At 42.8% G+C, this 25,430-nt stretch overlaps 1 protein-coding gene and 1 long non-coding RNA gene across 54 annotated transcripts in view, besides 1 other annotated feature; one reads left to right on the top strand and one right to left on the bottom strand.

The window, feature by feature from the left end:
• The window catches only part of KCNMA1 (potassium calcium-activated channel subfamily M alpha 1), a 768,207-nt gene that overhangs the window by 662,873 nt on the left and 79,904 nt on the right, over positions 1-25,430 (top strand). For 42 of the 53 annotated variants that reach the window (NM_001271518.2, XM_017016222.3, XM_024447990.2 and 39 more), the window contains 2 exons: positions 4,869-4,962; positions 21,012-21,135. In NM_001271518.2, the coding sequence (NP_001258447.1) occupies positions 4,869-4,962; positions 21,012-21,135 (218 nt within the window). Of the gene's footprint in view, positions 1-362; positions 450-4,868; positions 4,963-21,011; positions 21,136-22,776; positions 22,900-25,430 lie in introns of all 53 variants that reach the window. The other 11 variants (XM_047425199.1, NM_001437423.1, XM_017016213.3 and 8 more) reach the window with 2 other exon arrangements.
• Positions 1-25,430, bottom strand: part of KCNMA1-AS1 (KCNMA1 antisense RNA 1) — a 90,550-nt gene that overhangs the window by 3,658 nt on the left and 61,462 nt on the right. The gene's annotated exons all lie outside the window — the stretch shown is intronic.
• Positions 455-1,654: an enhancer, noted in NCBI's record as "P300/CBP strongly-dependent group 1 enhancer chr10:78733040-78734239 (GRCh37/hg19 assembly coordinates)". NCBI's record gives its function as "activates an origin of replication core promoter dependent on BRD2, BRD4, P300/CBP, MED14 and CDK7 cofactors, with strong dependence on P300/CBP, by STARR-seq in HCT116 cells {active_cell/tissue: HCT116}" and the evidence as "EXISTENCE:reporter gene assay evidence [ECO:0000049][PMID:35650434]".

Raw genomic sequence — 25,430 nt, 5'->3', positions numbered from 1 at the left:
TTTGTTTTAGCAGACTTCAGGAAAGAATGGGTCTGATCCTGCTGCTAAACTGAGTTTTCGGTGTCTGTACATGTTGTGGGGTGACGGGGAACTCAGTATATTTTTGGAAATTATACCAAGAAGATTGTCTTCTGAATTTCCAGAAGTATTATCCCTACTGATACAGATGACAATAAGACGGCAAAAAGAATTGCAGGAAGTCATCAGGGTAAAAGAAAGGGAAAAAAATGGCAATTCAGCTGTGAGGGAGAAACTTCCAGTTTGATTCAAAGCTATTCAATGTTAAAATTGTTTGGAACTTTTCTAAAAGAAATTTCACTATGGATTAATTTCCATTTTCTTTTCTCCTTATTGTTTGGCAGTCAAGGTTGCAGCTAGATCACGCTATTCCAAAGATCCATTTGAGTTCAAGAAGGAGACTCCCAATTCTCGGCTTGTGACCGAGCCAGGTGAAGGAAGACTGGGACCCATTCCCATTTTTAATAACTACCCTGCAGCCCTCAACATTCTACTTTACCATGCTGAGCTCAGTTGAAGAAGAGCGATGCACTACTGTGGATTTCAGCTTGCACTTAGCTTGTTGGGCAGCAAAATACCAAAAGGGAAAACCGTAAAAAACGATTAATAATAATTAAAACGACCTCACCCCCAAACTGGCAGCTTGTGCAAGACTTCAGTCGGAAGCCCTGTTAGCTAGATGCCTTTGTGTTCAAACCACTTTGCATGACTCTTATTCTGAGTGACTCCAGTGTGAATATGACATTACTAATGACCTGCTAAGTGTGTACAGATGTGGGTTTCTCCAGATGTGGTGATTAATAACATAATGGAGATAGCGGTTGACTCATGTTTATGAGTTGTTTGCCTTTTATTACGTTTCTGAGTTTATTTGCTTTGAACTGTTTTTTAACTCCAGCCAATAAACTCACCTTTAAATCTTAAAGGGCATCATCCCCTTAAATCTCACTGGGGAAACAGGGCAGAGGGAATGTGCCCCAGGCTAGAGCTGAGCATCAGGTCCATCTAATGCAGGCATTAGACTGAATTAGGGAAGGCTGGGAGTTGCAATCATTGCCCCATTTCACTCCAAGGACCATAAAGAGGCTTGGTAAACCCTGACACAGTGTTTGCAGTCTGGCGCGGCTGATAAAGGAAGATATTTCTTTTTTTAAAAATCTAGTGAAATATGTAATCATTTTGAAGTAAGCCCAGAGTTCTGGCCAGTGTTTCTGGAAGACGTTGCTTTTGCTTGAAAACAGAATGCTGATGAAAAGTCGAGTAAAATGTTGTTACAGATGTTCAACTCTGCATTAAGGCTGTTGGAATTACCACCACATCTTAAATCAATTCTCAGAACATTGTCTGGAGGTTATGTCATTGAAATAACGAATCCTCTTTAGTCAAGTATAAGCAAACATGTTAAAACATCATTGTAACTTTAAATTAAACTCTAGCGCAAACCAGGGGATCTGAAGCCTCATTAGACTTGCCTGACATTTTTCTAGCACTGAGTCTTCCCAAACTGTAAAACTGTTAGATTCAGTGCCTATTAGACAAGGGAGCGCTGGGAAGTTACAACAGCACATTAAGTGTTATACTTAGGGATGTGCAAAAACAAGCCCTTGAATTTTATGAGTACTTGGAGACTGGATGGAGTTCAGCTCCTATAAAATTCCACGTTAGATTCCTGAACTTGTTTGTGTTCTAAAGAAGTCAGGTTTCTTTAAAGGATCATATCTTCATGTGGCTTCCGCAGCATGAAGGCAAGTGAAAATGCCATAGATGGAGGTGTATTGTAATTAGCCAAAATGTAGGTTAAATAAGAGCTTGTAAATTTGCATCGTCATGAGGTAGTGGCCCACTACTTCAACACGTTTGTCTTTCATGAAAGTGAGTAAATTTAAGTCTCCCTTTTAATTCCATTTTTATTCCTCTCATGTAGTCACAGAAGCCATGAAATGAAAATTATATTTTATAGCTTAACTAAAAGTTTTCCTAGATCTGCTTTCTTTATGCAGAAATTGATAGGATCCATATAAAGGCTGATAATTAAATATGGTTTATATCCTACTTATGAGAAAGAAGTTATCACTGCTTCTCTTGAGGGACCTAAGCCATATGTAATGGTCTCCATTACACAGCGTTCATATATTTAAGCTGGAGACATTTTCCCCCATCTCTTCAGGGAACAGATCTGCATTTTTAGGCTGTGAGTGCAGGAGGAAACCTTTAAACACAAGTTTCATTTTGGAGAACAAATCCCACTTTAAATGCAGTATGATTACGATGGATGATCTTTCTGAGTTGCAATGAAAATAAATAGTTTCTTTGCATAGAAGAGGCATAACTTTACTACCAGAATGAGGTGTCTCCCTTGAGCTGGCTAACAGGTATTAACTTGCAACTCTCCCATCTGAAGATCAGTGTAGCAACAAGGTGTAAAGATAATGGCCACTTAACCAAAGAGGATTATTTGTTATAGGCCCAATGCAAAAAGGGAAGCCAATGCTCAGCAAAATAATCCCACAGGCATGCTAGGGAGGATGACTTCTGTTCAGGTCTTAACTCATCTAGATTCATTGTGTAACTGGACACAACCATGGTAGCATCTGGTGACCTTGAAAAATGCTAGCCGTGGTAGACTAGGTTAGATAAAAACCTTTGGATGTGGGATTATAACCTTAAGAAGTCTAACTGAATTATAACCTTAAGATGAGAAAAACAGAACTTGCACCCCGACTAGAGTGACTCACATGCACTCACACAAACACACACGTGTTATTTGCTCCAGCATGCTACACAACCAGTCTAGGTCACCCTGAACACAATACACCAATTGCAAGTGGCCCATATTAAAAGATGACCTTGTCTTATACGTCTAGTTAGTGCAAGACTTTCTACTTCATTCTAAGATGGGGAAAGTGCGAAAGCATACCTACACACACACACACACACACACACCCACACACCCTCGCTGCCTTTCTACCCCATTATTGCCTCAGATGCCTGGTCCCCTATCCTGTGAAAGGAAGATGAATTCAGGTCAAGCTCAGAGTGCCTGTTTGCTTGCCGAGAGATGCATATCAACTCTAAGTGATTTTTTCAATACCATTTATGTGGCTTGTATTTATTTCCTTTAATCTTTTAAGTGCTGTTTAGTCTCTGTGTGATTTGCTTTGGATACTCATTTCTGATAAGATGCGATATCATCCCAGCCACATAGTCTCTGCCTGGAGCTCTAAATGACTGATACAGTCTCGGCCTGAGCTTGGGCCCTGGTGGGTGTCAGAGGAAGCAGGTGGTACAGGGGGTCGGCTGTGGGTGTTTGCAGGTGCTTTCTTGCCTTCATCTCTTCTGGTCTCACTCTCACCTTACACCACAGTCATTCCCTTTTCCTGCATCAGCCAGGGTTTAGACAAGCCCAAACTGACAGCAGAATAGGAGAGTGTAAAATGTGTAATACTTTGAAGCAGGTTTGGAGGGTAGTTGGATTATTAAAATAGCTTTGGAAGCATGTATCATAACCTACTAAATTTATTTAGCGTTTTCAGGGAAGTACCATATAATGCATGCTCTAATATGGGTCTTCCTGGATAATACCAAGTAGCTGACATGGCACTTTCTCCCCCATCTAAGACTCCTACACCATTAACATATATCAAGTCTCTTTTGATGTCATCACTGCTAATATTTCTCTTCTTAGCTTTAAGGTAACTGCTGTGCATTCTGAGTTTCAGGGTGCTTTCCTCCTAGTCTGTGTTGCAGTCAACTATAAGAATCCAAAGATCTTATTTTTCCTTCTTGATATTACAGCTTTAGCCTGAATTGTGGGGGTGGGGAGAGGAGGACTAGAATTTTGCCGCTGATGCCCCTGGGTGACAGGCTGGGTTTGCATCTGCTAATTATCAAGCAGTTCTCTTAAAAAGAAGCATGATGCAGGCTAATACATCTGCAAAGCTTATTAGTGGGTGTCTTTGGGCAAGAGCAGTAGAGTGTGCTGTGGTGTTTCTAAGTGAAGCTTCACATTGCTTAGCAATCTGTGTGGTTTAGACATTTGGAAAACAGCTTTTGGTTTCCAATCCCCTGTGCTGCCCTCCATCCCTGCCCCGCTGCTGCATCATCAGAGATTTCATTCAATGGCAACCTCCTCCTTCATTCCGGGGCTCTCCTCCAACCTCACCAGCCCCGGTGCTCCTGTCTTCATGGGTTGAAAAAGGACCCCGTTGGCACAGCCCCACAAGCCCTCCCTCCTGGCAGTTGGAGGGATAAGAGCTGAGTTGGGCTGGGGATTATTGAGCCAGCATGCACCAATGTGCCCCGATCTGATTGAAACATTGGCTGTCAAGGCCTTGAATCCTTGCCTCTTTTCAACGCTCTTTCTCTGGTATGCAGGGGTTAGGAACCAGCTAAGTTGGTTCATCTGGAGAAGCAGCAGGCTGGCAGTTATGCTGACATTTCAAATACAACTTTATTTCTGATTTTGGTTACAACAAAACGCAGTCTATTACTGGGCAAAGCAAAGTAACCAAAATTAACTCTAAGAATAATGATAAGTATTTTTTTTGGTATACAGATAAATCATGATTTCTTTTTTTTTTTTTTTTTTCTTATGGCAGGGTGTTTACAAACTGTTTTAGTCTGTTTAAAGTGTATGTTCAAAGGCTGGAGTGTAAAGAGGTGTTGCCTTCACCTTCTCTAAGCCGGCCTCTTTGACTAACACATTTGGTCTTTGTCATTGGGTCCTAAAAGACAGCCATGAATTCCTAGTGAGTGACTGAGCCTTGAGTGTGTGTCCTTTGATATTTTGCCTGTATTGCACAGTCTGCCCTCAAACTGTTCATAATCTCATGAGCTGCCTGTATTTCCAGTTGAAGATGAGCAGCCGTCAACACTATCACCAAAAAAAAAGCAACGGAATGGAGGCATGCGGAACTCACCCAACACCTCGCCTAAGCTGATGAGGTAAGGAGAGGGGCTGGTTGCCCACGGTTTCCCTCTTAGCCCTTCTCTTCCTCCCCTCGCCCTCTCCTCACCCTGCCAGGCCCAGAGTCTCCCCTCCCCAGCAAGCCCGGGGTGGGGGAGGGGAGCGAGATCGTTAGATGGCTTCTTAAAGGCTGGAGTATTTATTCTGTCAGCTTGTCAGCAGTTAATGATAGAGCTGAAAAAATTCTGTCATGAAAAACAGTTTGAAAAGCTGTTTGAAAAATACATAGGCTTTAAAGTCTTAGCTGTCACCATGTCCTGTCTGTGTGTAGTTCCTAAACAGCAGTGGCACTAATGATGGCGGTAACCAATCAGAGAAACTCGTGTGGTTAGTTTGCCTGCGGCAGTCTCTTTCTGCTGGAGTCCCTCCGAGGACTGTTTTCTGTACTTAAGGCCATATGTGAGATGTATCATCACAATCAAAAATGAACCTGAAGATTACCTTCCTTTTATCCTGTCGATTGAAATCAAATTTCTGTTAATTGATTTTGACTGATAAGAAAAAGTCTAATAATCTGTGGACTTGCCAAAGCAAAGTTCAAAAGTAATCCAGTTCTGCTCAGGCTAAAAGCAATATTAATTATGAAATACAGCATGCATGTACATGTTCCCTCCTTTCCTCCCTTCCTTCCTTCCTTCCTTCCTTCCTTCCCTCCTTCCTTCCTTCCCTTCTTCCCCCTCCCTCCCTCCCTTCCTCCTTCTCTCTCTTTCTCCCTCACTTCTTTCTTGACTATGGCTTCCTCTGGTAAATAGCAAGTGAAGTCAAATTTCAACAGCGTTCTGCAGTTTCTTCTTCTTGGCCTATCTGTCTTTTATCTCCCCTTTTTGTCTTCAATTCATCTGCCAATCCCAGCATTTTTTTCCTCCGACATCCTGACTCTCTACCACCCAAATGAAACAGGAGTGATTTCAGATTTGCACTGCTCACCCTATGTGGTTTCTGCTCTGGAAATGCCTGCCATCTTGACATTAGTTTTGTCTTTTCATGGCCACCGGCTTTGATTTTTGAAATAGAATAGTGGTGATTTCCACTCCCCATATTCAATAACATTTGCATGTTCCTGGCCCTCCACATCCACCTTTCTGGAAAATAGGCAAGGGCAGTCTTTCTTCATGTGGTTGAGGACACAGGTTTTCCGTGGAAGACTCACCCTGCCCAACTCCTTTTCCATATCACCATCTATTCCTGTTAAATGTTTCCTTAAAAGTTCTCTGCCTTCCACTTCACCCAGCCTTCCTTGGGTTTGGCTGATTTGCATGCTTGTTTACAGTTTATGAGGAGGAATAAAATGTGCCAACTGCCAAGCTTTTCGTTTTTATGATGCCAGTGTCATGCTAGCATTCATTTCCTATTTACTCACCTTTAGGTAATCACCTTATCTAATTCTAATAGTTATTCCCATTTAAAGTAGAGAAAAGCCCAGCCACTTTCCTTCACCTAAATTTAGAGAAGCAAATAAATAAATAAAGAGAAGTCTGAAAAATCTGAAACCTTTGGAGCCAAATTCCCTGTCCCTGTTTGCTATGTAAAGTATGGCTCATTTCTTTGATCTTGAGTAATAATAATTCTGAGGAGTTATACTGTTTTCATATGCTTCAAAGCTGTGTCAAAGTTTTGCTGCTTAAGGGTACTTCTTTATTCTGTTGGCTCTTGGGTACCAAGATGACAGGTCTTCTGTATGAGGTGGAGGCTTTTTTAAGTCGTAGCCTTCAGCAAAACATCAAATTACCAAATCCAGGGTAACATACTTCTACACAAATGCCTTTCCTGTAGATATATTATACCATATATATTAAATACTTTAGTGTTACACGCTACATTTTATGTGCAATAGAAAGTGATGGTTTGAGGTAGCCTTGGGGGGACTTTTTTTCCACAAGCAGAAAAAGCTAGTGTATATCGTATCAAGTATGGTTTTTACAGGACTTTCTGCCCGAAGGCCTTTGTAAATAAGTAATGATCAACAGATTGGCTGTGGGTTTTTGAAAAGCATGCCTGTGTCAGTTTGCATGATGGGGGAGAATTTTCAAAGTGGATCTTGCTTTCATTCGTTGCTGGAGAGGGGCTGAGGGAGGCAGTCATCCTGGGCTGGAGCTGTCTGTTTCATGGTACATCAAAATTGCTAAACGTGGGTCAGGTGGTGAGTGGAAACTTGCCAAGCTACAGAACTCGGGCTTCTCATGTTGGTTGCCTTTGGGCTGCTGCTAAGGCCTCAGTTCCTGTCGCTGGGATGTCTTATCCCACCAGCCCACCATGGTCTCCCTTCGCAGCCCAGCTGGAATGGGCCATCCCATGACAAGTGAGAAAGTCTTAGACACTCCTCCCTTACCACGTCTTTCTATGTCCCAGGTGCTCCACATTCTCCATCTGACCTGGGAGCAAAGATGGACCCCTCCTGAGCCCTCTCTCCATATCCCTTGACTTCCAGTTTACAGAAAGACCTCAGGGCCCTTTGTTTTACATTTGAATATCTGGCACTGGCAATGAAGTCATGGGTCCATTTTTGCTAAACCCCCTTTGTTGATTGGCAGAAAACAAGGGCTCTCCCAGCTCCCTGTGGCTTTTCCAGTTGCCCCCGCCTCTTCCGACACCTGCTTTCTACTCTCCAGTAAATGGGACTTTCAGGTCCTATTCCTCATGACCTGAAAAATCCATAAAGGAAGCTAATGACTTATTTGAAGTGGATTTTTCGACATGAGTTTGTGACTTGCAGTTTGAGCAGAATCAATCATTCTGAATGCGGGCAGGTTTTAGTGGCCTATGGGCAGTGACAGGAATAGCTCCAAGAGGAACTGGAGAACCCAGAATGGGCTAGGATGGGCTGTAATTTACCACTGTGGCTTCTGCAAATAAAACAGACTCCTGCGTGAAGGCTCCTTCCAAATCATCTGCCAGCAGGAGATGCAACGGGGACTCTGCACTAATGGTCTTTTCCTTCCCTTTGTTCTTGTATCAGGCTTACCCTAGTGTTTAAGTGTCACTTAACTCTGCACGATCATTAGGTGAACAGCCTTGTTTTGTATATCTGGATCCTGAGGTAGTATGTTTTTGAGTCACCTCAACAGAAAACAACCCTCATGTCCAGATAGAGCTGAATGGCGAGTGTCTGGGCCCCAGGCTGAGGACACACGTGTAATGATGGATAAATTTGGCTCCACACCCGCAGAGGAGGTGTGAGCCATGGAGGCTTCCAAGTCCCCGGCTCTCTCTGCCTGTTATTTCCCTTCCTTCCCGGTCTCTTACTGTGGAATTATTGAAGGAGCCTCCCGTAGTTTTCCTCTAAAATTACCAAGCACCCGTTGCCCAATTCTCCCTACTTAGTGGGGTGGTGCCTTGTAAGGATAGCCACGTCTTTCCTCATTTGTAAAGTCCTAGGGGGGCACAAAGTTTGTCTCTAAATAGCTAAGTCAAGAGTTCTTAATTTGGGGGCCTTACCAACCCTATGAACCTTCAATGAAAACTCTCTAGGAAGTCTTTCTAGGAAAAAATAAAAAGTACACTTGATCCCCTTTTACCACAGTTGAAGCAGGTTAATGGATTCCTGAAATCTCCATTCAGGATCCCTGGTTACAATCACATTCAGTTTATTCCAGAGCCACCTCCACATAGTTGCACGTACAAATGCTTTTTGGTTGATGAGATTTCTCCAATGGGTAGGTGGTATGGAGTAAACACCTGGGTTCTCACACTGAATCCTCACATGGAATCCAAAAAGTCTGTGCACTTCGGCTGCCTGCTTTTAATCTTTTTCTCAGATTAGCTCCCATCCAGCAAATATTTAGCGAGAGCCTACTGTGTGCAAGTTGTCATGGAAGTTCTTTAAGGAATCTAAAGTCTAGCACCCAAATGACTTTAGATCCCTTAAAGAACTTCCACACAGTCTAATAGATTAGATTAGATCCCTGCCTTCAAAATGCTTATAGTTTAGCAGAGGAGAAGACAAGCACATAAAAACACAGAATTGGGTAAGAACAAGCTGGGGGTTCCACTAGCATGGGCTGTGAGAATAGAAAGAGCTGTCATTACCTCTGGTTTGGGAGGCTGAGCCTGGTTTAGGAGGAGGTCTTATTGAACCTAGTTCCATACCATGAGGAGAATGCTCAACTAATAATATTACTTGTCTAGGTTTACCGAGACTGGATGCCTGTAACTCACTGAGTCCTAACTACAACTCTATAAGTAGTTATTACTCTTGCCCCCATTTTACAGGTGAGTATGTTGAGGTACAGAAATGTAAAGTCTGGTAAATCTAGGTAAGTTTTCCCTAATTAGGATGATGGAAGACATAGGGACAGTGCTCAGACCACAGTAAATGCCTGGGTGTGGCTATAGCCAGGGGTCTTTGGAGTGGCCTAGATGGAGTGGAGAATGTAAGAGTATTCTGGCACCCAGTCATGAAGGTTTTGCTTGTCATAGGCATTAGGGAACCCCTGAAGGTTTTCGAGGAGGCGGTAACCTAACTTGTGTTTTGGGGGAATCACTGGTGGCAGCAGAGAGAAGGGTTGGGAGTCCTCCATCAGGAGATTTCTGAGACACACACTACATAAGCACAGAGGTGTGAAATAGAAGGCCCACTCAACCCCAGCCTCTGCCAAGGCCGTTTGTGTGCTAAGCCATTCAGGGTCTGCTGTAGAATAGTAGACCAGGACTGGGATACATAGTTTTCCCAAGGACACACGTAATTCCTGACATCAGTCCTGAGACCTAGAGTTTTCCTCTAAAATCATCCTAGTTTTCCTCTAAAATCATCAAGCACCCGTGGCCCAATTCTCCCTACTTAGTGGGGTGGTGCCTTGTAAGGATAGCTACATCTTTCCTCATTTGTAAAGTCCTGGGGAGCACAGACTTTGTCTCTAAATAGCTAGGTCAAGAGTTCTTAATTTGGGGGCCTTACCAACCCTATAAACTTTCAATGAAAACTTCAGTGAAAGTTAGGATTTACATAGGATGTATCAGGTGGACAGTTTACACAGATAGCACCCAGCTGGGCTGGCAAGGATAATTGACAACACCCAGAAAAAAGAAATTGAACATTTTGAGGAGAGTTTCATGTCAGGAGACCCAGAAAATATTAGACATTAGTTTCCTGAATGGGAGGCAAAATATGATTTGAGGAAAACAGATTATCCTCTTGGGCATCTCCTGGTCATTAAGTGAAATAAACTCATCTACTTGTTAAGTCTCATCACCTCTCTTTTGACTCAAACCTTTCGTGGGGTCATTTTGTTAGGACTTCTCACATCAGAGCCTGCTAGCATGAAAGATTTTAGTAATAGAAAATGGCAAAATGGACTGAGCCAAGTCACCCTCACAATTCCTTCCACTGGGCAAAAGAAAGAAGGAAGGCAGGGACAGCTTAGCTAAGTAAATTCATCTCTTAATGCACAAACTGATAGCATATGACAGGCCTCCCCCAGGACTGGAGAAGAAAAAAGTAGTTGGTGTCATGGTACTGAGGCTTGGGTGGACCACACAGGTCCCTGGACAAGTTCATGCTCAGCAGATGGTCATGACCTTGCCCTCTTGTGTCAAGAGCATCTTGTACAACCTCCTGTAGGACTGATGAACGTGTTGGTTCTCCCAGGCTGTCTCCCAAACATAAAGGCAACCATTTCCTTCTTCTGAGAATGCTGGCTGCCTAACACTAGATAACATCTTAGGTGGCAGCAGGGAAAATAATGCAAGTAGATAGATGCAGAGAAATTGAAAAGGACCCTAGTTCTGCCAGGGTGGCTACAGCCTGGCCTGAGAGTTTTGTCAGTGTGGCTCCAGGGATGGCCGTCAAGTGGGAGATGGGGAGAGGGTGGTGGGCAGTGGTGTCTCGGGGGTGATGATCATTATCAGAAGAGTGGAAGCCCTGTTGAAGGATGTGTTAAGGCAGGAGCCAGGATTTGCTCTGCAAAGCCTCAGGAAGTATCAGGAAATAGTAATCACCCAGGAGCCAAGGCACCCAAGAATGAGGCAGATCCAGTTGGAACCATTTATGGTGCTGAACACCCAACTATGATTCCTTTTGAGGAGACCACCTAAGGCCTAATCCAGCCTTCTGTGTCTGATACAGGCTCAGACAGACCCGTGTGGCCTGATATTCTTGAACATTGTGCTCAAGGTCTTAGTGACTAGATACCATGTTGTTAAAGAAGGGTAGAACACTGAATTGTAAGTATTGCACTTTGCGAGGACTAGTATTTAATTTGCTTGTTTAAATTTATTTGCTGATTAGCTCATGGGAAGAGAAGTCAGCAAGAGAGAGTCATTAGTGCAGCATCTAGTCAGTAAATCCCCATCAAGAATCAAGTGTTGACACAATGCCTCGAGTTCCACAGAGTCACAGAGAATCAGAGTAGGCACCCAGAATGTGAGGCGCCTCCTTCAATTTTGCACCCTAGGCACCCTCTTGTCTAGCTGTAGTCCTGGCTTTGCTGAATAGAACTACAGCCTTATAATCTGTGTGTTGTTGACAATTGCTAACTTGGGTAGGATTTACTGAAGCCATATAGATTCTCCATCTGGGCAAAACTTTATAGTGGTGGTTCTTATACTTTAGCAGGTGTCGGAATCACCTGGAGGGCTTTGTTAAGATATAGCTTGCTGGTCCACAGCCCTACACAGTCTAATTCAGCAGATCTGGCCTGGGGATTGGAAATTTGCATTTCTGTTAAACTTCCAGGTGATGCTGATGCGGCTGGTCTGGGCCACAGTTTGAGAACCACTCTTTTGAAGAATCAGAACAGTGAGAGGAGCTTGAAGTGATGGGGGCCCATCTCTAAGAAGTGTTCAGACTTTGCACTGGAGAACCAAATAGTTGCTTAATTAAGAACATCTGTCTGACCACTGACATGAGTCCTCCCTGCTGATTAGTTACAGCAGCTGGCTCCAGGCGAACTTCAGGCAGCCTTGACTGGTTAGAGACATAATTTAGGGTTGTCCTTCACATCACAATGCCCTTTTTATAGCAAATGCTCTGTGTCCTAATTCATACGCAGTCCCTGTAAATGAAAAATGATGCAAGAACCCTGATTGTTCAAAAACAAATTGTTGCAAGATATCAGAGGTAAATGGGTTCTCACTGCACACGTTTTGGATCTCCACGAAAGGTTTGCTGAGTCTCTGTTGACTGCTTGAAGAGTGTTTGGGGACTAGAGATGATTCATCAGTTCCTTTAGTTAGTTTGATTGCATCCTCTGCTGGATTCTGGAAATACATGGAAGAGCAAAATAGATCCCTGCCCCTAAATAGTTCACCATCTAATGGATAAAACAGACATGGAAATTATTATTGCCGAAGGAGCATCTCTAGAAGTTCCCAGGAAGGGAAAATAACTTCAGTCTCTCTGGCTGTTCAGGATGATGGCTTTATGAGGAACACTTGAGCCAAACTGTGAAGTCTGAGAAATGTCTTGTTAGCCCCATCATGGTGCCTTACATAATAGATGCTCAATAAAGTCAGTATTTGCAGCTCGGATAAAAGGTCTGTGGAGGGATGAGAAATTCACCTCCTTTTAATCAAGCCTCTCATCTCCCAGGGAGACCACTGTAGGATGCCCTTAATTTGGATGGGATGCTCATAATGACAGAAAAGGCCTTATCGTGTGATAAGACATGAGGTCTCGAAAATCAAGCAGAGAAAAGAATGCAATTTTCTAGCCATTTTGTAACTTTCCTTTTTCATAACATTTTTGTGTGTTTGGCTGGTTTTTTGTACTTTCATGTAAATTTCTGAAGTCCAGCGTTGAACCCAGTGCCACCGAAGGAACTGGGATTTGCTGTCTTTGCCTGTAAGGGAAATTGTGCACTTTAAAATATGATATCAGCTTCCTCACAGCAGGTTTGCTAGAAAAGGGATTTGTGGTTTTGCTTTAGGCTGTTGTCTTCAAGGCGAGCTTTTTCTGTTCCTGTTGTAGCAGGGCATTTAGTTCACTTCCTGAGATTAATTGATGCCAAGTGGCATTTCTTGCTCTGCGAATCCTCAAAACAAAGATCTTTTGCAGGCACACCTCAGAGATATTGCAGGCTCAGTTCCAGACCACCACAACAAAGTGAATATCGCAATAAAGCAAGTAACACACATTTTTTTTCTAGTGCATATAAAAGTTAGGTTTACACTCTTCTGTAGTCTATTAAGTGTGTACATACCTTCATTAAAATAATTTACTCCTAAAAATGCTAGTAATCATCTGAGTCATCAGTGAGTTTTAATCTTCTTTCTGGTAGAGGGTCTTGCCTCAGTGTTGGTGGCTGCTGTCTGATCGGGGGGTGGTAGCTGAAGATTGTGGTGGCTGCGACAATTTCTTAAAATAAGACAACAATGAAGATTGCTGCATCGACTGACTCTTCCTTTGACAAAAGATTTCTCTGTAGCATGTGATGCTGTTGGATAGCATTTTACCCAGAGTAGAACTTCTTTCAAAATTGGAGTCAATCCTTTCATACTCTGCTGCTGCTTCATCAACTAAGTTTATGTACTATTCTAAATCCTTTGTTGTCATTTCAACAATGCTCACAGAATCTTCACTAGGAGTAGCTTCCATCTCAAGAGACCACTTTCTTTGCTAACCCGTAAGAAGCAACTCCTCATATGTTCAAGTTTGATCATGAGTTTGCAGCAATTCAGTCACATGTTCAGGCTCCACTTCTAATTCTATTTCTCTTACTTTTTCCACCACATCTGCTGTTACTTCCTCCACTGAAGTCTTAAAGCCCTCAAAGTCATCCATGAGGGTTGGAATTCACTTCTTCCAAACTCCTGTTGATATTTTCACCTCCTCCCATGAATCACGAATGTTCTTATTAGCATCTAGAATGGCGATTCTTTTTCAGAAGTTTTTCAATTTATTTTGCCCAGATTCATCAAAGGAATCACTATGGCAGTGATAGCTTATTAAATATATTTCTTAAGTAATAAGTCTTGAAAGTCAAAATTACCCCTTGATCCATGGGCTACAGAATGGTAGTTGTTCTAGCAGGTATGGAAACAACATTCATCTTATACATCTCCATCAGAGCTCTTGAATAATTGGGTGCGTTATCAGTGAGCAGTAACATCTTGAAAGAAATCTTTTTCTCTGAGCAGTAGGTCTCAACAGCAGGATTAAAATATTCAGTAGATCATGCTGTAAACAGATGTAAATGCCTGACTTCAAAGCTTCAAAGGACAGGCTGATTCTTGTTGGAACTAATGCAGCTGGTGACTTTAAGTTGAAGTCAAAGCTCATTTAACATTCTGAAAATCCCATAGGCATTAAGAATTATGTGAAATCTACTCTGCCTGTGCTCTAGCAATGGAAAAATAAACCTTCAATTTGTAAAAAAAAAAAAAAAAAAAAAAAAAAAACAAAACCATAATATCTGCAAAGTGCAATACAGCAAAGTTGAATAACATGAGGTATGCCTATGTTCTTCTTCTTTTTTTTTTAGACAGGGTCTGGCCCTGTTGCTGGGCTGGAGTGCAGTAGTGTGATCTCGGCTCACTGGCAGCCTCAACCTCCTGGGTTCAAGTAATTCTCGTGCCTCAGCCTCCTGAGTACCTGGGACTGCAGGCGTGCACCATCTGCCTGGCTAATTTTTATATTTTTTGTAGAGATGGGGTTTTACCATGTTGCCTAGGCCGGTCTCAAACTCCTGAGCTCAGGTGATCTGCCCACCTCAGCCCTCCAAAATGCTGAGATTACAGGCATGAGCCACCATACTTGGCCATGCCTGTGTTCCTTATTAGACTTTAGGCACACTGAATTTCTAGCTGTGGACACTGGAGGGTGAGCTGAGATGCAAGGGTTATGGGGTGAATTTCTGCTAATCATTCACATAAGTGGTGCATTTTGTAAATGCCTGCGATGCTGGTTTCCCTTTCTTGGCTGCTTAGAACACTGCAACTTGGGGTGTTTTGATGGAGAATGAACAAGATATGGCTGCCTCCTTAAAGTGGGAGGGTATGAGGTGGGCACCCTGCAGCACTGGCCTTCAGCCAAGTAGACCTTTTTGTTAAGGCTTTGCCTCTCCTCTCACTGGCTGTGCCACCTGAGCATGTTACTTATCTATTTTGTTTCCCATGTATACACAGAGCCCGATAATAACAGAAATTACCTACAGGTGTTCTTGTGAGTAGCAAATCATAAAATGTAGGTAAAAGTTTTAGTGCACCAACATTTGGAAGTGTTGGACTCATGGCAGCTATTCATCATAGTAACAACAATGGTAATAGCACTAGTAGCAGCAATAGTAGTAGTATTAATAGTAGCAGTAGTAGAAATAATAGCAGTAGCTCTATATCTTTATTATTGAACTGCTCTCCCTTTCCTGCCTCCTTTCACCATAATCAGAGCTAGTAATACATGAGTGGGTCCTAAGCAAAGTATAAAGGATGATAACCATAAGACTAGTTAACACTTCTTGAGGACATGCTCTAGGTCAGATGCTGTATTCAGGGCATGAAATATCTTTACTCATGTAATCCTCAAATGGAATCCATTGAATAATGCTAATGATTAACATTCCCATTTTACAGATGAAGAAACTAAGGCAATGTACAACTTAGCAAGTAATAGGTGAGCCAAGCCTTGAAGACAGACATTTTGGCTCTGGAGCCAGGGCGCTTAACCACTATGGTATACTGTCACTAAGGAAATAGGTGGTTTCCTGCCCTTAGTGGTATCAACCCCTGAACACTCCATTTGGAGATGGACTCTATAAGTCAGACTGCTCAAATTAGCTGGCTAGTGTTCAGGCTTCCTCTTTGCTTTAAGCTGGGCTTTCATTGGCATTGATCCTCAAATGCATGTCTAAGTTAAAGACGGAGAGAAGTTACCACTCTGGCAGAGCAGATCTAACATGCCTGTATGTTGGTGGTGGGGTAGAGAAGGTGGTTGGAGAGGGGAAGGATATTGGCCGAAAACCTTTAGAGGAGATACTGGGTATTACATATATATGTCTATGTATTCCTGAAATAATGGCGGGATGCTTTTTTCCCCCCCTTAAATGGACAAGAAAAACTTAAGATTCAAGAAGGGCAGCCGGGGGCCTTCAGCTAAGGGATATCTGATATATTGTGCCTGTTTTTCTTCAAGGTGGGCTATTGTGTTAATTTTCTAGGAATGCTGTAATCAAGTATCACAGACCCAGTGTCTTAAACAACAGAGCTTCTCACAGTTCTGGTGGCTAGAAGTCTGAGATGAAAGTCTGGGAGGGTTGGTTCCTCCCAAGGGTACTGAGGGAAGGATCTGTTTCAGGCCTCTCTTCTTGGCTTGCAGATCTCTGTCTTTTCCCTCTGTCTTCACATGATTTTCCCTCCTGTGGAAAAGTTGGCCCAAATTTCCTCTTCTTGTAAGGACACCAGTCCTATTGGATCAGAACTCACCCCAATGACCTAATTTTAACTTAATTACTTCTTTAAAGACCATATTTCAAAATACAGTCACATTCTGAGGTACCGGCGGTTAAGACTTCACATAAAAATTTGGGGGAGAACACAGTTCAGCCCATAAAAATGAAACAGCAGATATATCTCACATCATAGAGTTTCTATTACCCTAAAATAGGGCATGTACATTGGCTAAGTCGCAAGTGACAAGTGAGCCTTGAATTAATTATGGTGCCTTTTAGGGAAATTGAAAATTACTTTGTGAGTGGAAGACTTAGGTAATGTCATTATGATGTGAAAGACAATATCTAATCCTGGTCCTTGATTTCAACTAACTGGTCTTTGAGGAGTTGTGGGAGAGGCTTTGGAAGTGGGTCTCTATCACCTTGCAAACTGAAGATGTTGGGATCCCTTGTTCAGGGAGATTTCTCATGATCCTCCTTTCCATACAACAAACGGCCCAATTCCTCTGGGTCTCCCTGGATCACAGCAGTGTTGATTGGTGTGCTCAATGGCAAATGCTTGGACTTTCTTCTAGCAATAGAAGCTTTAGAAACTTTGATTTAGTCCCTGTGGACAACTGACTGTACACTCTCCACCTGTTCCAGAGATCTCTCTGCAGCACAGGCCAGCCTAAGGCACTTGAAATTACTACAGCAACAGCCATAGTAAAGAAATTTATACTGTCTGGCCAGAAACAGTTACAGACTCTATTGTTGCTGGAACGAATTGTGTTCCCAGCTTACTCCCAGACTGTGAAATCCAGTGAGTGTGTAACAGTGCTGGCCCTTACTGGAGCCATAAATTAATCCCTCTCCCACGCTGCTTACCTCTCATCTTCACTCTAGCAACCTTTCTTTACCTACTCAGGGCTCTCCAGCCTTCTGATATCCAACAATGGTCCAGTACTTTCAAAATTCTTCTAGCTGTGTCTTTCTCCAGTGACAGCACAGTGCTTCAAACCTTCAGGATCTTCTAGGCTCGCCCAACCTTTATATGCATATGCTCACTGTATCCCTTGCTCTTGTGGAATGGCTCAATGATAGAAAACCCACTGTCTTGGGCAACAACTCATTTCATTTTTGAATTACTTTCAATTTTTATAACAATCTTCCTGTTTTGGAACCATGATTTTTGTTCTCTCTTAATCTCATGGATCATTCTTAGTCTGCTGTCAATCAGTCATACTCAATCAGTTTAATCCATCTTCAACTTGACTGTCATTGCACATCTGGAGACAGCTGGAAGGCCTGGTCTGAGTCTTCTGTACCTTAGGTTAGGTGGTATGGTATGGGGCATCTTCAGCCATGGTTTTAGGTGCCATTATTTGGCCCTTTTCATTTGGGCCTCAATTCTCTGGGTGGGTCCTACTGGCTATTAGTGGATCAACACTGCAACATGCTGAGATTCCTCTTCATTTCTCATGGTTCAGATCAAATGCTAATTTTTTTTTTTTTTTTTTTTTTTTTGAGACAGAGTCTCGCTCTGTTGCCCAGGCTGGAATGTAGTGGCGTGATCTCGGCTCACTGCAAGCTCCACCTCCTGGGTTCACCCCATTCTCCTGCCTCAGCCTCCCGAGTAGAGTAGCTGGGACTACAGGCACCCACCACCATGCCTGGCTAATTTTTTTGTATTTTTAATAGAGATGGGGTTTCACCGTGTTAGCCAGGATGGACACGATCTCCTGACCTCATGATCCGCCCACCTTGGCCTCCCAAAGTGCTGGGATTACAGGCCTGAGCCACCACGCCCGGCCCAAATGCTACTTTCTTTGCAAAACCTTCCTTAATGCTACCCAAATACCAGGATATGAACAGCTTTTTTCTTGGTATTCTTGTATCACCTTGTACTTTGCTGTAACACTTGCCACAAGGTACTGTAACTATTGAACTATTGGTGTATATATATTTTTTTCCTGCTATCTTGTGGACCTCTCTTTGACTAGGGACTTTATCTTAATCATTACTGTAGCCTCCATTCCATGCTCAGAATAGGGGATTCTTATTGATTGCTTTACTGATTCAATTGGTTGCTTTACTGATTCAATAAACCAAAGTTAGAATTCCAGGTACCATGCTGGTCAGAGAGGGTAATGTCTTTGTTCCGGGAGGTTTTTGATGTTCCTCAGGTCAGTCTCTTGGGGGAAATCCTGGATTGTTTATATTTAAATGGTCCAGGCCAGGATGAGAGATGTGTGGGGAGTAGAGTGTAGTGTGGCATACCTCTAAGACTTCCTGGATGCCTCTGGATGTTCCATTGCAAACCATGGCTTGAGCTCCAGTGTGAAATTATGCCTGGTTTCTGGAAACCACTACCCCAGTTAATGAAGCTTGACATTAGCTGTCTTTTTTCTTTTTATTGAAGGGCGATCGATCATCAGGCTTGCTTATTTGCTTTTCTGGATGAAAGTTGTAGGCCACTGTTAACAACGTCTGACTCCTTCCCAGAAAGAATCAAGTATACCAAACCAAAATGTATCTCCTCTTCCCCAAGGCACACATTTTCTAAAAGTGTTTTTTGTCAGCTTGCTGTTTCATTTGCTTGCTTGCTGATATTATGGGAACATAGTTCTGAGTATCTTTTAAATCCTAAATGCACTAGGGGCAGGTCTCAGGTCATCCTGAGGTAATACTTTCTCTCCAACCAGTAAACAGGGCAAGAGAATTTGAACCTGGCTCTATATCTTCAGGGCAAGTCTGCTAATATCCTCTTGCAACTGAAATATGTTCTTCATGGGCTGGAAAGAGTTAATTTTGTTCATTTTCTCAAACCTCTTCTCCATGATGGCTTTTGTCTACCTACCTATTCCAGATAATATTAATAGATATCTATGCAACTGTTAAAGACTCTTCAAGGACAAAAACATCCCTCAAAATGTGCTCTCACCCTGATCTGTAAATAGTTCTTATCAGCCTTTTTATCTTAACATCTTTGACTAAGTTCAGTATTTGGAAGATGGCCTGGTGGTTTACATACCTCAAGACCTCTCAACAATCCAGACACTGAGATGCTACTCGGAGTGGGATTGTTCTTCTTTTAAGATCAGATATGACAGATATTCCTATAGTAGTCTAGCATGTTCGTTGAAGATAACTTTGCAAGTTGGCTTCACATAGTATTTGTCATTTGGTGTAGTCTAAAAGCAAATTCTCAGGCATAAATAAAGGCAGTGAGAAAGTTTTCTCACCTTATGTGGGAGTGGGGAGCATATTGGAGGGTCGTGGTAGTTATTCAAAAGCTTAATCCTAGGTTTTTGGGCCATGGAAGAGATTGCTGTCCCACTCTGTACTCTTGACATATAAGTGGGAAGTATCGGAGACATTTCAGAAGGACAAATAGTAAAAAGTAAATAAAAGTCAGCCTCTGCAGAGCGAGACTCTGTCTAAAAAAAAAAAAAAAGAAAAAAGAAAAAAGTCACCCTCTGATGTTGAAATATAGAATTTCAAAAGGTAAAATCACTTTACAATTTATGGAATGTGACCCGATGTATATTTTCTGTCTTGTGTTGACAATATTACTCAGAAAAGATAGCTCCATTTCAAGAGTGGTTAAGTATAGCTGGGACAATGTCCTAATTATATGGCCAGTTTTGCAGGAAGGAACAATGACTTCCCAAACCCGAGGTGCTGAATCACTATCAGAGATAAAAGCATGGACATTGACTATGATTCAAGGTGCAGGAGCTTATTTATTGTGCTATAAGCTTGTTAGAACTGCCTGATTCCATTGCAGTTCTTAAGGTTGTCAGTGAGGCTCTGCCAACCCACTAGACGGGAGGCCTTTATGGAAGCATCTTCCTTTTCCACCAATAGACAAGGCAATAGAGGGCGAATGTTGCCCTGAGAATTTGAAACAAGTTTATTAAGATGCATCTGAGCTTGAGGCTCTCATCTAAGATATGCAGCAGTTGGGAGGTGAAGGTGGTGGGGAGCATCATTGGATGGTTAGTGCATATACAGTTGTCAAGGCAAGGAGAGAGGGTGTTGTTTAGTATTGAAATCATGTATTCCAGATGTGGGCATTTGGTAGTCAGTCTGCTCTGAAGTGACATGCTGCTGAATCTTTAAAGGCTTCAGCCAGGGAGAGCAAAATCTGATTGGGCAAATTGCTAAAATATTTAAAGTGCAGCCTGTTAAAGCTTTTACTGCGAAGAGCATCACGTCAGAAGTTGTAGTCAGAAGGAGCGAGTAATTGGCTTTCCATCCTCATGCCAGTCAGTCAGCATGAGGCTCTATTCCTATTCCTTCCTCTTCATTGCCGAGGCTCATAGCAACCCTTTGGTGTGTCTGTCTGTGTGTGTGTATGTGTGTGTGTGTGTGTGTGTGTGCACGCTGGGGAGATCGAATAGCTGGTAAAATGAGAGGAAGAGGAGTGAGGTAGCCTTAAAAAGGGAGGCTGAATCCACAAAATGTTAGGAAGACCATTTAGGAAAAGAGGAGCGGGGGAAAGGCAGAAATGCTCCCTGACAAAGGTCACCTGCACTTCCAGAAGTGGGGTGGTGGTTTGGGGCAGTTGTCTCTCAAAGGATGGATTCTGTAAGCAGAAGAATGGCCTTCAGTGACAACCACTTCCTCTGCATCTTTCACATCCTCTGAGATGTAATTCAGGGGGCACTTTCCATTTATAATTTATCACATTTTCCACTTAGGTTTTCCTGTCCTTTTCTTCCCAGGCATGACCCCTTGTTAATTCCTGGCAATGATCAGATTGACAACATGGACTCCAATGTGAAGAAGTACGACTCTACTGGGATGTTTCACTGGTGTGCACCCAAGGAGATAGAGAAAGTCATCCTGGTGAGTGAGGGACTGTGCATCTGATGTTGCCCGCTTCTGCCCCAAACCACATTTGCTAGGAATGGGGTTTCCCTAGTTGGACAGTGGGATAATACTGTCCCTGGTCCTAATTATTTTTGATGAGTGAAATTCTGAGCATAGATTGAAGCAGCTAGACCTCTGATCAGAACATAAGCAATATTCAGATTTTTCAATCTCTGAATATATTGGCTCCTCATAAGAGTAGGTGAGCACTTGCTGTGGGAAAGCCATGGTGGGAGGTGGTATGAACATAATTCCTGTGGCCATGGCGCTGGTGTCAGAGCCTGCCTGTACCAATTATTAGCTGCATGGCTTGGGTAATTCATTTGACTTTTTGCACTTCGGTTTTCTTATCTGTAAAAAGATGAGATGAGAATGACCCTAACTCATAGGGCTGTAGTGAAGATTAAAATCCAACAGATGACTCAGTAAAGTTACCTCTTATTCTTACTATTATTAAATGCTGTGAGGAAAGCTGAATGCTGCCTGTATTGTTATTGGTTTATAGCAATGTTTTGTATTCTTATAGATAATAGCCTTGTGCATCTGTGAGCTTTCTTAGTGCATGTTGTAGACAGGGAAATGCATGATGATGCATGACATAATGATGACAATAATGAACTACAGTCCCCTTGGGGAGGCTGGGGCTCAGAGCCCTATTTCGTGGAAGGCTTGTGAACATCTTCATAGCAGCAGTGGGCTCACCCAGTCTCTCCCAGGAATGTCAGCATAGGTAACAATCCATTCTACTCTCTGCCCTTGTTCTATTAACAGCTTTGGGTCTTAATGCCTACACTGGCTTTCCTACAGTTTATTGTCTTGCTAATCCATGAGAAATGGATTAATAATCAGGAAAGTCAGATGGAAGGGTTCTTTCTCCCTTGGGCCTCTAATCCCCAGATTGGTATGGGTCTGTTCCTTTTTGTCAGCCAGGAAAATCCTATCATTTCTGATGTCAGGACCACCCTTCCTAAACAAGGACTGTTCTGGGTCCTCGGAATGGCTTTGTATGCTAACACACTGGACTTTCCCCTATGCTTTATCTATGTGTATGTGTGTTCTCAGCTTAATTATAAATGAGCATTAACAGCCAATACAGTATCAAGCTGGAGGCTGTCTCAGAGGTGGGAAAGTTGCAGGCAAGAGCACAGAAAGTCAGAATTCTTAGCAAACAGCTGTTGTCCAACTGACCAGGAGTGCAAATTGTTCTACTCGCAAAGCTGCTTCACGTATGTACATTCTTTTTGTTTTGTTTTGTTTTTTTGAGACAGAGTCTCGCTCTGTCGCCAGGCTGGAGTGCAGAGCCCTATCAGCTCACTGAAACATCTGCCTCCCAGATTCAAGCGATTCTCCTGCCTCAGCCTCCCGAGTAGCTGGGACTATAGGTTCGCGCCACCATACCCAGTTATTTTTTTGTATTTTTAGTAGAGACAGGGTTTCACCATATTGGCCAGGATGGTCTCGATTTCTTGAGCTCATGATCCGCCAACCTTGGCCTCCCAAAGTGCTGGGATTACAGGCGTGAGTCACTGCACCCAGCCATATATGTACATTCTGATGTATTCATGGCACTTTTGCCCTGGTGGCCTAAATTTAGCCTGATGTTACCACTTGTGGCAGGTCACAGGCTGGATGCCGTATCTGGGACCTAGGGTTTTAATGACTTGCCTGGATATTGGTGTAGTATGCATGCCAACTGATATTCAATCAACATCTCCTGCCAGCATAAAAAAGTTTAAGGAGGTGAGTTACTACTTCTATCCTATGAAAAATAACATCATTTAACAAAACATCTCCAGGAGGCCTACTATGTGCCACACACCATTCTAGTTACTGGAGATGCAATCCCTGACAACGACTGCTCTCACAGAGCTTGTGTTCTAGCAGGGTGGGGCTGGGGGAAGAGGAGTTATCTCTTTGTGTTCTAGCAGGGTGGGGCTGGGGGAAGAGGAGTTATCTCTAGGTAGACAAATGAGTACTTAATAACATTTCAGATATTTATAGGATGCTTTGAAAAAAGTAAAGCAGCATTGTAGGCTAGAAAGAGACTGGGAGGTGCTGTCTGGAAAGTATGATCCAAGAAGCCCTCTCTAAAGTAACACGGCTAGAGATAAGAATGACAGGTAGGGCCAGCTACATGAGGATGCTTTGAGGTTGTGTACCCACTGGGCACGGGAAACTAACTACTTTGGGGATTTGAAGATATAAGAGATAGTCCCAATTGTAATTTCCTGGATTAATTAGAGAGAAGATATAAAATGTAACCCATGAAACAGTGTATTTAAAGCTAAGTGGTAAGAGGTGCAAAATGCTATTGAAATGTAGGGGAGAAGGACTAGGGTGTGTTTAAGTGACCAGGCAAGTCCCGTCATACACACATAGGTTGTGCTTGGGTTGGGCCTGGAAGGATGCATGGGAATTCCAGATACATAGAGAAATGATCAGTTTCTCTCTCTAGTGTGCTTTAAACCCGGCAAAATCAGACACACCGGGGCTGAGGCTCTAGAATTAGGATATTCATAAGGTTCTCTGGGTGATGTAGCTGTGGCCAGTCTGAGGATGGGTGTTTTGATCCCAGATCGAAGTTCCTGGGGTCAGCATCTGTGCCTCGGCCACTCAACTAACTGTGCCTTCCCCACCTCCCTATTCTAGAATTCACTTCCACCCTGGGCCCAGTTTATATTCCTCTGGCTTGTTGAAGGGAGCTAGCCTCCCAGGTGACCTGGCCAATTACAAATAATTAGGAGCCCCATCACATAACAGTGCTTTATAGACTGGTTGGCTGTCTCCTGGTGGCACCCAGGCACTTGCACTTCCGTGCGGCCCAGATAACTAACTCCAGGTCTTCTGCAGGAAGTGGGGATATGTGATGTGAGCTCCCCAGTGGGTCTTCCTTGGTCACAGTTTCTAAGGCATTTCTTACAGCTTATGTCTCCGGTTTCCCTGGACTATTGCAGAGGGAAACCAATAATGGTGACAGCCCCTGCTTTATTCTAATGATCAGAGAGTGAAAGCTAGTTTCTTCCTCTCCTTGGGGGTTACTGTAATAACCCTGACATTGTTGTGAATTGCAACATTGGCATTTATACAATCAATGCAGTGGTCAATTCTAGAGATTAAATCAAGCAGAGTTTGATATGTACAGTGGACATTAATATGCCTCCCCCAAAGCATTGTAAGCCACATGGGGCCATCCAGGCATGCAGTGGGTGGACAGGAATGGGAGGCATTGAACCAGAAGGAGAGGCAGAGAAAGGTCCACGGCTGGCCTCCTGGCTTCACTAGCTCAGTGAATCAAAGGGCCAGCAGTGACTAAACATTTGTATTTCCTGGGAAGTTGGGGTTCTCCTCTAATAGAGTGACTGTGTTCTTTCATTTGTCTCCTTTGTAGATAGAGGTTTGGAGTTGGAGGAAGACACTGGCCTGTTGCTCTTACTAATCTCTCTCTAGCCCCTTGTAATGATTATTTGGGGAGATCTTTTCTCTGAATGATTTAAGCAAAACAGGCCCCTCCAGAAATGTCCCTGGAAAGTCCAAGGCAGCATTGGACAGGGGTCAGCAAACTTTTTCTGTAATAAGTCATATAATGAAAAATTTAGGTTTTTCAGGGTATAAGATCTCTGTTGCTACTGATTAGCTCTGCTGTTGTAGCATAAAAGCACCCATAGGCAATACCTAAACGTATGAGCATGGCTGCATTCCAATACAACTTTATGGGAATTTGAACTTTATGTAATTTTCACAGATTATGACATTGTCTTCTTTTGATTTTTTTTCAACCATTTTGAAGCACAAAAACAATTTTTAGCTCACTGAACATACAAAAGAATGTAGTGGGCCAGATTTGGCCTGTGGGTCGTAGTTTTCCACTCCTGGCTTTAGGTAGCATGTTCCACCTGCTGATGCACGGACATCTCACTGATAAGTCTAGAATTCTAAAGTCAAATTTCTCCCACTGAGCCCAGTGCAGGCATCTGACCATTTTATCATCATCTCAGCAAGCAAGCCAGAAAAGGCAGCTCATTTAATCAACAATTTCATGGAAACTAAGACTTCTCTTTCCAAATAGCATAAATATTCCTTTTCCTTTTTATTTTACCTCCTGAAAATTATTATGAAGGTCTGCTCACACATATTTATGGCATACCTTTCTTAAATCTTTTGTCAAAGAAGGTAGCAATGTGTATGGCTATACATTTGGACAGATTTATTACAAAAATATAATACATATACACGTGCTCAAATTATAGCTCTATATGGCATGTATATAACAT

Source organism: Homo sapiens, chromosome 10 (assembly GCF_000001405.40).
Source record: "Homo sapiens chromosome 10, GRCh38.p14 Primary Assembly".
Classification (NCBI taxonomy): Eukaryota; Metazoa; Chordata; class Mammalia; order Primates; family Hominidae; genus Homo; species Homo sapiens.
The sequence above is the reverse complement of the archived record's forward strand: the minus strand, read 5'-3'. Positions and strand labels throughout refer to the sequence as shown.